Genomic DNA, 13,125 nt, shown 5'->3' on the forward strand with positions numbered 1-13,125 from the left:
AGACTTGGGATGCGCAGGGTCAGGGCCCTCAGACCCACAGGCCCCCAAGGAAGGGCAGGCATGGGTCCCCATCGCCATCCATGGCCCTCCCAGCCCTCCCTGGGCTACTCAAGTTGCGTCTGTGTCTGCAGGCCAGTGGCACGTCTTCCGGAAGTGCCTGCCCTTGCCCACGCTGAGCCTGCCTGGGAACCCACCTGCTGCCGCACCTATGCCCACGCAGCACCCCCTCTCTGAACTCGGTCCGAGCAGCTGCCTGATTCTAGGTTGGATCATGGTGGGACCCAGGACGCCTCTCCGTCCTCACGGGCCCCAGGTCATGGGACCTGGTGTCACAGTGTGCGGTGCCAGTGCCACTCCCAGGCTGCATGGGAGGAACCTCCAGTGTTCCTAACTACGTGCAAAGGGCTCTAATCTCTGCGTTTCTTCCCTTTCTTCCCAGGGACTGTTCATATTCCTCTTTCATTGTCTCCTGAATTCAGAGGTACGTCCGCTCTGCTTGCTGGCAGGTGCAGGTGCAGCTGGCTTTTCCTTTCCGAAAGGTCACAGGAGCAGGAACAGCGCTGCCCTGTCAGGGTGGTGTCTGGGACTCAAATCCTGAGCCAGCCACGTTCCTGATGCCAAGTTGTGTGCCCTGGGGCCTGCTGCTGAGCAGCTCTTCTCTCCCCGCCTAGTTGCTAAGCGATATGCAAGCATCCTCTCTCCCTGGAGAATTGGCGACTGCATCTTAGGGAGAGTGAGATGTAGGCGTGCTCCCCACAGTCCTCCTCGAGGGCCTTGGGGAAGCTGGCCTGGCTGTGAGAAGGAGGACTTCTGTCCACGGGAGCTGGGAAGAGGAGTTTTGTGATGTGGCCTCCTTGGACTCTGGGGCAGCCAGCGCAGGCTTATTCTTTCGGTGCTGCTCTGGGCCTGGCACCTGCCATGTACTTGGCTGGGGGGAGGTAGGGGCTGCCCCAAGGACTTCTGTTCCTGTGGGAGAACTTTTCCCAAGTCAGCTTTGAGCCCCTACCAGGCTGAGGTTGTGGGAGCTGCCTTGGGATGGGGAATGGGCCCAGGGCAGAGGGGCCGTCCTGCCCGGTCCATCTCAGTGGCGGTGTCCGTTTGCAAGGACAGGCCAGGTGGGCCAAGGAGGGCAGAGCAGAGTCGCTGAGCAGGATGGTGGCCGGGCAGAAGGGCTGCATGATCACAAAGCCCAGTGACCCCTTGATCGCAACGCCCAGTGACCCCTTGCAAGGCCTGAGGTGGATCCCGGTGGCAGGAAGGCAGTGCAGCCATGGAAGCCCGCCCGCCCACCCGCCTGCCTGCCCACCACGCATTTGTTTATTTGCTTCTCTCTCACACTCACCCCGGGACATTCATTGCTGAGTGTGAGGAGCCCAGCAGAGGCCACTCCACACCCAGCTTCCCTGGCCTGCGATACAACCTGGCTCTGCCCCACAGAGCAGCGATGCACAGCTCAGCTGTGGAGCCAGCAGCTCCGACTCATATTTCCAAATCCCAACCTCCCTCGCACATCTGGTTCCGGAGTTGCACCGGCACAGACTCCTCTGGTTACGGCTGTTGCAGCCTCTGAAATTGCTCTCACGATCCCTTCCCCGCTTTCAAGGTGAGAGCCGCCTTCAAGCACAAAACCAAGGTCTGGTCGCTCACGAGCAGCTCTGCCCGCACCTCCAACGCGAAGCCCTTCCACTCGGACCTCGTGAGTGCAGCCTCCATAAACCGAGGGTCCCAGCCCATCCTCCTTCCCCAGGCTCGGTTGTCAGCAGGATGGGGTGTGCAGGCAGCAGAGGTGGCTTCGGGTGCCCAGCAGTCTTTGTCCCCCTCTCATGCCTGCAGGCTGCACGTGCTCTGGGCTTGTGTCCCCCACACAGTGCCCTGTGTCCTGATGAAGTCACCACAGCCCTACCCCTTGACCCCGAAGAGTCAGGGCTTCTTGTGTTCACTTAGGGATGGAAGGACTTAGAGATCAACTGACCGTGAGGTGGCCCATCCCCGCCGCCCTCCAGAGCCCAGGCAGGCCCCCAGGCAGTCTGGAGCAGGCCCTGTTAGGGTTCTCACTGTGCCGCTGCTTCCCCCCTGCTGGAGCCCTGCTCAGGTGTCCCATCCTCAGGAAGTCCTTCCCCGCACACGGTGCTCAATGAAGGCGCTCCCACCCATTCTCGCACTCCGCCCCCGCCCGCAGCTGTGTGATTTTCCATTTGCTTAGGGACCACGTCTGCCCTGCTCCATGGGAGCTGGCTGGCTCATGGGCTGCTCTAGCCCCACGGCTACAGCTGCGCCGGGTGTGTGGCACGCTCCATGAGTCACCGTGGAATGAACGCAGCGTGGACAGATGCATGGGGGTGAAAGCGTGGGTGCCGGGCAGATGGGTGAGCAGAGGAGGGAGTGAGCGCTCAGCACAGCACGCCTGCAGTGCCCTTAAGGGGAGTCAGCGTGGAGAACCGTGCGGCTGGAGACGCCACAGTGCGCACATCCTCATCTCCCCCAGGAGCATGGGGGCTCCCTTCTCTCTGCACCTTTCCTCCCGCAGGGAGAATCCTCGGGCAGCTATGGGCCCAATGCTCCCCGCACTCACTGGGCTTATGGCTCTCCCCCTGGGAGCAGGCCCTTCACTGCTCATCCCTTTATGCTTTGCAGATGAATGGGACCCGGCCAGGCATGGCCTCCACCAAGCTCAGCCCTTGGGACAAGAGCAGCCACTCTGCCCACCGCGTCGACCTGTCAGCCGTGTGAGCCGGGAGGCTGCCAACCAGGCCAGGCTGCGCTCAGAACACACCCCCCCAAACAGAATGAAATGCCCCACCTTTGCCCATGGACCCTCTCCTTGCTGCTGTCTGGACATGGGTGTTGTGGCCCCGAGACAGCTGTCCTCCCCTGTGACTCTGGCTGTCGGAGCACACTGCTCAGCCCAGCAGCCTGATGCCCAGGCCAGCGTGGGCCCTCCTGCCTTGCATCCACCCGTGGGCTGAGTGACTTCCTCGGGGGATTCCCAGGACACAGTGGCCTGACTGTGATGGTGCCCTTGAGCCTCCCTTCATCACTCAGCATCAGACCCAGCGAGGCCAGGACACTCGGGGCCGGTCCCGCAGCACCAGGAGGGGATGTTCAGCCTCTGTGCCTTGGTGGGGCTTGGGGACTCAGGGCCAAAGAGGTGGTTCAGGTCCCCACGCACCCTCAGTCAGGCGCAGGCAGCTGGGGGTGTGTGGGGAAGAGCATGCGGAGTCCCCAGTGTCTGAATCCACTGAGTGGTGAGTTCCCCACAGCCGGCGCTAGCCGTGGTGTGTGTCTCTGTAGGTGGTGCCGGCGTGGGCCAACCTGTGCTGTGTCATCAGTTGGGGGCCCCTGCCCAAGCCGAGCTCGAGCCGTGGGCGGGAGTCGTTGACTCTCCAGGTGAGGGCGACCCCTCTGCCCTGTCCTTGGGGGGGTCCCCTCTGCTCACGTGAAGAGCCGCTCTGGGCCTTGAGGCTGCCTGATGGTGCCTGTGCTTGGGGGAGCTTCTCGGCCATCCGCTGTGAGTTTTGCCTCTTTGGACCCCAATTCGGCCTTAAGATGCCCTCCTCCCTCGTGTGCCAGCCTCCTTGGTTGTTCTTGGGCCACAGGAGCTGGCCGTGTCCCCGCAGTGCCTGGTGTCCAGGTGGAAAGTGGAGGGCATTTTCCAGGGCACTGCTTTCCCCAGAGGCTTCCTCATGGCTCACAGGCACTCTACGAAGTTTCTAATGGGCAGACCACGCGGCAGGTAGCACAGTGCGCTCCGTCTGGTCACCATGAGACCGACCTGCGCTGAGTCCCCACTGACCTGGAGAGGGAGGGCTGGTGACAGCCGTGTCTTCTGTGTTGAGGGAAATTTATGGACTCAGATTCAGCCCCAGAGGAGATGGGATAATTGTTATGGACCCATGTGTGGGCATGATCCTGTGGAACACAGGTTTGGGATCATAGATGTGAATTAAGACACCACCGAGATACGGGCTGTGAGGTTCATACTGTGCTGATAGCACTCGTGGTGTCTGTGAAATGTGGGTAAGACATTCAAACCTGGTTTTGATACTGGAAACTCTTCCTTTAAAACTGTGACCATGATTTCATTCAGCCCCTCCACACCCCTATGTCTGCCTTGTTTCAGAGTGAGTTTTCTATGGAGCCTGTGGCCCTTTTGCAGCCCACCTGGTGGCTTCTTAATGTAACTCTTCCCCTGGTCGCCTGGAGTGGACCACTCATCTGCAGGCCTCTCCTGCATGGGGAGGGTAGGCAGGGAGCAGCATGTCTGCAGGGGTGAACCTTTGCTCTTCTGTCAGGCGAGGCCCAGGCTGCACCAGCCACCTGCCACATGGTGACAGTGCCACGGGCCCTGCGTATGGCCCCTGCAACCGTGCTCTGGCGGGCACACCTGGCTGCTGCAGGCCAAGGCCGCTGTTCAGTGAAGAGTCCCATGTTTAGTATGGACTAAAGTCCCATGTTTAGCCACTGCCCCAGGCTCCCGTGACCCCAGAAACCAGGTCACATGGACCACAGTGCCAGATCCTCATCACGCCGGTGAGCACCTAGAAGTGAGAACACTGTATTCCTACAATGTACACTTGGATATTTCTCCTTATTTAGTTTCTAGTGAAACAAATCAAGTAAGGAACTATCTTTAGTTTAGATGGAATTATTTGTTTTTAATTGTTGCCGTATTCATCTATATAGCTAATATTTCAAGATAAGTAATGAACAAAACCTGTCTAAACCTTTTGTTTCCAATGAATGAAAGTCATGCACTTTATTTATAGGCTCTATGTTTTGGCTTCTGCAGTACTTTTATTATCTATACATAATTTGGCCAAAAATAAGAAATTGGAAAGAATGAAATGTTTAGTTTATAGTAGAAGAAAGATGATGACACTAAGTTGTGAAAATATGTTGTGATTTTTATGAAATAAACTCATGTCCTGAAAAGAAAGTGTGCTCCTTAAAATCTGTTGCTGGTGGAATGTGAACAGGACCGTGAGTCTCTTAACGCATCAGTGAAATCCCAGGCTGGGATCTACTCAGTAGACATTCACTCAGCACCTGCTGTGAGCCCCACACATTCTTGCTCTGGGGATGCCCCGGGAGCCTGTGTCCCAGGGATGGGGTATGAACACAAACCGGGGGCAAGCAGCATGCCTGGGGAGGAAGCGTGGGAAGGAGGCCTGGAGGGACGTGCACAGGCCTTTGTCTGCCCAGGGTAATTTACTGCAAAATACACGGCTGCTGCTTCAAAGGAGGCGGAGTTCAGCCACATGCCACACCCCCAGATATACTCATTCATTCCTTACCCATGCTGCTTTTCCACTCTTTACAGAATTTACAGGGATGTAATTTACATGGTCCTACATTGTCTCTGCTGTGCAGCCGTCTGCTTTTATTTATTTTTTTTTTTTTGAGGCAGAGTCTCTCTGTCGCCCAGCCTGGAGTGCAGTGGTGCCATCTTGGTTCACTGAAACCTCCGCCTCCCAGGATCAAGCCATTCCCCTGCCTCAACATCCCAAGTAACTGGGACTACAGGCACACACCACCATAACCGGCTAATTTTTGTATTTTTAGTAGAGATGGGGTTTCACCATGTTGGCGTGGCTGGTCTTGAACTCCTGACCCCAGGTAATCTGCCTGCCTCGGCCTCCCAAAGTGCTGGGATTACAGGTGTGAGCCACTGCACCAGGCCCACCGTCTGCTTTTAAACTTAATGTGCACTCATAAACCACTTTCCATATTACTCTATTGTTCATAATTATGATTGTAATATAAAGTGTTCCGTTACATATTATATTTTACCAAAAATCTTGCACTGTTTTATAACTGGATTGTTTCTATGCTTCTGTGTCATACATTAACATTTACATATTTATCGTATATATATTTTTATTTATGTAACATTTCAATATTTTTTATATCCATAATATATAATAGAGGAATAGATATAATGTCTTTGTGCTTATGACTTTTTTCCTTATTTTTTATTTTGATTATTTTTTAGGTTAAAAATCTGAAAAAAAATGGGTATGCGTCAAAAAGTAAAGAATTCCATGACTCTTGAAACATTCTGCCAAATTCTTTACCAAAAGAATTTGGTAAAGAGTTATCGGGTCAGTTTTCACTGCTGGTGATAACTTATTAATATTCTCAGTGAGAACTTATTGATACTCTCATTTCTCAAAACTTTTACAGGAAAGGTGAGCAGTGTTCTCATCACCAGCTTAGTATGTGTGAAATTTATCATTTGTATTTTCTTGATTACTACTGAGTTTGAACAGTGTTTCATATGTCTTTACATTTTCTTAGGAAGGTGGCTACAATTCTGAATATATAGGGGAGATGTTTCATTTGTTTACAGTATCACTCATTGCCCTGCAACCATCCCCATTGCGCTCTCCTGTGGTGATGGTGGGACCAGGTCCCACCGGAGCCGCACACATGGTGACAGGAGCCAGCAGCTGTGGCCGTCCTGGGTGCTTGGAGAAATGCCTCAGCCGGTGCCACCCATCCAGGGTGGTGCAGGGCCCTCCCTCTCCCACAAGCCACTGGACGCCCAGCCTTGGCCAGGCCTCTCCCTTTAGCCTCCGGGGATGAGGGGACGAGTCAGGTTGGTGGAGCTGCAAGCATGAGGCAGAGGGGCCACTCTGGAAGGCAGGGCGTCCCAAGTGCCCTCCTGCATCCCGGCCCCTCCTCCACAGCGAGCTGCTCCTGCCGCCCTCTGACTTCCTTCAGAGGCATCAGAAATTACAGTCCACAAATGGGAGTCATTATTTTCGTGCTCCAACAGGCCTTTAAAAATATTTTTTTCAGCTAAATTCAGGGAGTTTGGATGTGAACAAAGAAGATGTGGGCAGTCTGCACCATTGTCTGATTCCCTGCTTGCTTCTGAATGGCATTTGGTTCCTCTTTGCCCAGCGTCTATTTTTAGCCTTTATGCCAGTTTGCGCTAGGATGATTCTTTCTAAAGAGCGTATTCGTGGCTGTGCTTTCGAAGCCAGTCTGAGGATCTCTGCATTTAATTGGGGAGTTGACATCTTGATATTTATGTGATCTATTTGTAACATTTTGCATCCGTCATTTTATTCATGCTTCCTGGGTTTTTTTGTGGTGGGGGGTTGTGGTAGAGGGGTTGTGGGGAGTGTTGTTCTGTTATTTCTTTTTTGTTTTGCTTTTTGGTGTCTGGGTTGCAATCTTTCAATCTTTTACAATAATTTGCTTCAGCGCTATCTTGCCTTTTCCCTGACTACATCTGCACTAATGCCATAATACAGGCCCATAAAGCTTAGTGTTTAGTGTGCACTTACTGTTGGCAACTTTGTTTCTGTTTGGTATTTAAAGAAAGGATTTTCCGGCCAGGCATAGTGGCTCCTGCCTGTAATCCCAGCACTTTGGGAGATCAAGGCAGGCAGATCACTTGAACTCAGGAGTTTGACACCAGCCTGGGCAATATGGCAAAACCCCGTCTCTACTAAAAATACAAAAATTAGCCGGGTGTGGTGGTGTGCACCTGTAGTCCCAGCTACTTGTGGGGCTGAGGCCGGAGAATCGCTCGAGCCTGGAAAGTTGAGGCTGCAGTGAGCCATGTTCCTACCACTGTGCCTGGGTGACAGAGCAAAACCCTGTCTCAAAAAATAAAAAATAAAAGGATTTTCATATTAGTGTTTTTACTCTTAAAAGTTGTACACATTCATGCTATTTTAATCTTATTTATAAATTAAGCAAATTTAAATTGTTAATCTACTTTTTAAAAATTAATAGGCTTTATTTTTAGAGCACTTTTAAGTCTATAGAACAACTAAGCTCCCTCATACCTCCTTTTCCCCATCCCTCTCCTGCAGTTTCCCCGATTATCAATGTCTTGCATCAGTGCGGTGCATCTGTCACAATTGGCGAATGAATGTTGATGCGTTGTTGTTAACAAAAGTCCATAGTTTACACCAGGGCTCACTCTGTGTTGTACTGTTCTATGGGTTTTGACAAAAGTATTGACTTACAGCATCACGTAGCTTCACTGCCCTAAAACACCCTCTGGGCTTCACCTGTTCATCTCTCTCTCCCCAACTAAGCCTGACAACCACTGTTTTGTTTTCTTTTTTTTTTCTTACTGTTTCTATAGCTTTGCCTATCCCAGAATGTCATATAGTTGGAATCATACAGTACGTATGTTTTTCAGATGGGGTTCTTTTGCATAGCAATATGCATTTGAGGTTCCTGCATATCTTTTTATGGCTTGACAGATCATTTCTTTTTATTGCTGTATAATATTCCATTGTGTGGAGGTGCCACACTTTATCCATTCACCTATGAAGGACAGCTTAGTTGCTTCCACATTTTGGCAGTGATGAGTAAAGCTAATATAAGCATTTGTGTGCAGGTTTTTGTGTGGAAATAAGTTTTCATCCCATTTGGATAAATACTAAGGAGCATGATTGCTGGATTGTATGGTAAGAAAATGTTTAGTTTTATAAGAGACTGCCAAGTAGCCGCACCATTTTGCATTCCTGCCAGCAATGAATGAGAGTTTCTGTGTTCCACATCCTCACCAGCATTTTGTGTTGTCAGTGTGTCGAATGTTAGCCATACTAATATGTGTGTAGTGACATCTGATTGTTTGAATTATCAGTTCCCTAATGGCATATGATATTGAGCACTACTCCCCAAGTTTTGGGTATTTGTTCTAATCCAGTCAGTATCTGAATTGGCCATTTCTCCTTGCAGTTCATCAGTTTGCCTCATGTATTGGGGTGTTGTGTTGTTTGGTGCATACACAGTGAGGACTGTTATGTCTCCTTGGAGAACTGATTGCTTTATCATCTAATGCCTCTCCTTATCTCTGCACCCTCTTTGTTCACTGGTTCTCTGGTGATTCTGAAATTTGTTCTGAAGTACTTTGCTGAGTGAACACTTGCCATGTGAACATTTTAAGTTTATTAAAAAAGAGAGTATCTTTTGTTTTTTTTTCTTTGTAAATCAAGATACACAATTCTGATGTCACATCCTTTTCCCCAGAAACATCTGTAGGTATGATTGTTTAATGAAGAGAAATTCAGAAGTTAATAATATAATTTTATGTGAAAGTCAACTTACCCTCGTCTGATCTCTTTGGAAAATTTCAAGATGCTTTCCCTTAGTTTAATTTTTAACCAGATTATGTATTGATATTGTTTTCATTCTCAGTTTTTAGTAGAATATAGACATGCCACTCTTTCGAATCCCAGGCCTTTTGTGCTATCCCTTCTGAGTTGCAGCTCCGATGGCATATTTGAGATGTGCATTCATCTCTATCAGGGACTCCCGTTGTTCACGAGTTGGGAATCTGTGCTGTGTCCTTTGTGTTTATCATCATCTCTTATTTTTCTTTTTTCTTTCTTTTTTTTTTTTTTTTGAGATGGAGTCTGGCTCTGTTGCCCAGGCTAGAGTGCAGTGGCGAGATCTCGGCTCACTGCAAGCTCCGCCTCCTGGGTTCACGCCATTCTCCTGCCTCAGCCTCCCGAGTAGCTGGGACTACAGGTGCCCACCACCACACCCGGCTAATTTTCTGTATTTTTAGTAGAGACGGGGTTTCACCGTGTTAGCCAGGATGGTCTCGATCTCCTGACCTCGTGATCCACCTGCCTCGGCCTCCCAAAGTGCTGGGATTACAGGCATGAGCCACCGCGCCCAGCCTATTTTTCTTTATTTTATTTTTACATTTTCTTGATATTTTGGATATATTTTATAAAATAATCGTTACTTACCAAGTTTATACTTTTTTCGGGGTCAGTTCTCCATTTCCTGCTTTCAACAAAGGTTTTATTTAGTCTGCTGTGGTTTTCATTCTGCTGCACAGCACATTTTATCCAGATGGGTTCTTCTTGATGTGATGCAGTGTGTTCTTTTATCTTATTGATAAAAGAAAACAGCCATGCTGTGAATTTTACTTGCTTCACAAGAAAATCTTTTCCAAGAAGAACATTTTCTTCTTTTTATGATGTGTTTGCGTTGCAAATCTTTTGCAGTGCCAGTACTTTTTTTCTTACTCATGAGTTTACTCTGGAGATCAGGATTGTTTTCCTGAATCTCAGTGGATTTTCCCATGGCTAGGGTGGCTATTAATTAGACTTTCTGGAATACAGGGATGGGACTAGATTGTGGGTTGAGTGGAAATAACTCTATGGCAGACCTCCAGGGTACTGATCCGTGGTTCCCAGCCTGTGGTGGGCCATGCAGAGCTGCTTTTTTAAACAGGGTATCTGCTAATCAATATCTACCCTAAGCATTGTCTACAGTTTGAATAAGCAATGTGTCTCCTACATCTAGGTGCCTGTCTTTCCAAATGTAGATCATGCTGTAATTAATAAGAAGATCACTTAAAAGCTTCATTGCAGTCATAACTGTAGATTGACCTTGTGTATTTTTTAACTGGTGAATATTTATCATACAGTTCCTCTCATGGGAAGGAGAGAGAGTTCAACCAGTCATTTTTATTAGTGAAAGTCAGGGCCCTCCAGCATAAGCAATTAAAATCAGCTCTGTGTAAATCAAAAGGTGAGACTTGGCTGCATATCGATCCCATTATTGACCTGATGGTTTTGTCTCCATAAAGAATTCCTGCTGTCCACAGATTGGATTCCTGTGTTTCGTTCTCCGTGTCTCATTTAAAAAAATAAACATTTTATTTTAGAACATTTTAGGTTTATAGAAAAATTGTGAAAATAATACAGAAGGTCTCCATGTAACCCACACCTAGTTTTCTCTATTATTAACATCTTATGTTAATATGGCACATTTGTTACAGATAATGAACCAGTATTGATACTGTATCACCTAAAGTAGTACTTTATTCCAATTTCTCCAGGTGTTCCCTTGTATCCTTTCTCCCTTGCAGGATACTATTTCAGATGCCACATTACACTTAGTAGCCATGTCTCCTTACAGTCCTCCTGGCTGTGACAGTTTCTGAGTCTCTCCTTGTTTTGATGACCTTGACAGTTTTAAGGATTAATGATCAGGTATGTTGTAGAATGTACTTAAGTTGGGATGGATCTGATGTTTTTCTCATGCCTGACTTGGGTTATGGGTTTTGGGGAGGAAGACTATAGAGGTAAAGTGTCATTCTCATCGCATCATGTCAAGGGTATGTACATACTATCAACATGACTTATATGTTGACTTGTATGTTGACATATGACTTATATGTCGATGATGACCTTAATCACTGAGCTGAGGTAGTGTTTGTCTGGTTTCTCCAATGGGAAATTACTCCCTCCCTGTCTCCCCATTCCATCCTGTTTAGAAGGAAGCCACTGTGCACAGCCCACACTAAAGGATTGTGGAGTTATGTTCTACCTCCTCAAGGAAGGAGGCTCTGCATAAATTATTTTGAATTCTTCTGCATGGGACATGTCTATTCTTCCCCATTTATTAATTAATTCAGCCATTGATATCAGTACAGACTCATGGATACTTACTTGATGGATTATTATCCAATACTACTTTAATGATTTTGTTGCTCAAATTATTCCAGCTTTGGCCATTGAGAGCTTTCTCAGTTGGATCTTGTGTCCGTCTGACATGCCACTGTGTGTGTGTGTGTGTGTGTGAGAGAGGAGCACTTCCTCTATTAGATATGTGTTTTGCAATTATTTTCCTCTCGTCCGTGGCTTGCCTTCTCATTCTCTTAACAGAGTCTTTCACAGAGCAAAAGTTTTATTTATTTATGTTTTTAACTTTTATTTTAGGTTCAGGGATGCAAATGCAGGTTTGTTACAGGTAAACTGCATGTCACAGGGGTTTGATATACAGATTATTAAGCATAGTACCCAGTAAGGTAATTTTTCACTCCTCACCTGCCTCCCTCCCTCCACTCTCAAGTAGGCCCCCCACTGTCTGTTCTCTTCCTTGTGTCCATGTGTGCTCAGTGTTTAACTCCCACGTATAAGTGAGAACATATGGTATTTGGTTTTCTGTTCCTTTGTTAGTTCACTTGGGATGATGGCCTCCAGCTCCATCCATGTTGTTGCAGAGGACATGATCTCACTCTTTTTTATGCTACGTAAGATTCTGTGGTGTATATCTATCACATTTTCTTTATCCAGTCTACCACTGATGAGCATTTAGGTTGATTCCATGTCTTTGCTATTGTGAATAGTCCTGTGATCAACATACATGTGCACATGTCTTTATGGTAGAACAATTTATATTCCTTTGAGTATATACCCAATAAGGGATTGCTGGGTCAAATGGTAATTCTGCTTTGACTTCTTTTGAGAAATTGCCAAAGAGAAGTTTTATTTTAATAAAGTTCAATTTATCAATTTTGTCTTTTGTCAATTGTACTTTTGGTATCATGTCTAGGAACTCTTCAGCAAAACCTAGATCCAAAAGATCTTCTTCTAAAAGGGCTATCGTTTCAGCTTTAAATTTAAATATAGAATCCTTTAAAAAATAACTTTTGCATAAGGTGTGAAGCTGAAGTCAAGACACATTCTTTTTGCCTGTGGATGTCTTAATGGACATCCAGTTGTACTAGCCTCATTTGTTCGAAGATCTCTCCTTTCACTATTGACTTGCCTTTGCTCCTTCATCAAAGATCAATGGACTATACTTGTATCGTTATAGTTCTGCATTCTCCATTCTATTCCACTGACATATGTGTCTATTTGTTTTCCTTCCAATACCACACTGTCTTAATTATTTGGCTTTATGGTAATTGTTCAAATCAGGAAGTATGAGTCCCCATACTGTGTTCTTCCTCAGAATTGTATTGGCTATTCTAGGCCTTTTGCCTTTCCACATAAATTTTAGAATCAGTTTGTCAATATCTACAAAATACCTTGCTGAGATGTTGATTGGGATTTCAATGAATCCACAGGTCAATCTTAAACAATTCATTTCTTAACAATATTGAGTCTTCCCATCCATGAATATGGAATATGTCTCCATCTATTTTGACTTTTAGAATTAGAATAATTTCTTATTTAAATGTTTGGTAGAATTTAGACTTACTTTTTAATTCCAATGTGTATACTTTTAATTAATTAATTTTTAGAGACAGGGTCTCACTCTGTCACCTAGGATGGAGTGCAATGGCATGATCACAGCTCACTGCAGTCTCAACCTCCTGGGATCAAGCAATCCTCCCGCCTCAGCATC

The 13,125-nt window shown here is 47.3% G+C and overlaps 1 protein-coding gene across 11 annotated transcripts in view; it reads left to right on the top strand.

Moving 5' to 3' along the window:
* ADGRD1 (adhesion G protein-coupled receptor D1) overlaps positions 1-4,936 on the top strand; it is a 187,563-nt gene extending 182,627 nt beyond the window's left edge. For 10 of the 11 annotated variants that reach the window (NM_001330497.2, XM_011538206.2, XM_011538209.2 and 7 more), the window contains 3 exons: positions 440-481; positions 1,604-1,696; positions 2,635-4,936. In NM_001330497.2, coding sequence (NP_001317426.1) covers positions 440-481; positions 1,604-1,696; positions 2,635-2,730 — 231 coding nt within the window. In that variant the 3' untranslated portion in view covers positions 2,731-4,936. The remainder of the gene's footprint in view (positions 1-439; positions 482-1,603; positions 1,697-2,634) is intronic. The other variant, XM_011538204.2, reaches the window with a different exon arrangement.
* The last annotated feature ends 8,189 nt before the right edge of the window (positions 4,937-13,125 follow it).

The sequence above is a fragment of the Homo sapiens genome, chromosome 12 (assembly GCF_000001405.40).
Source record: "Homo sapiens chromosome 12, GRCh38.p14 Primary Assembly".
In the NCBI taxonomy this organism is placed as follows: Eukaryota; Metazoa; Chordata; class Mammalia; order Primates; family Hominidae; genus Homo; species Homo sapiens.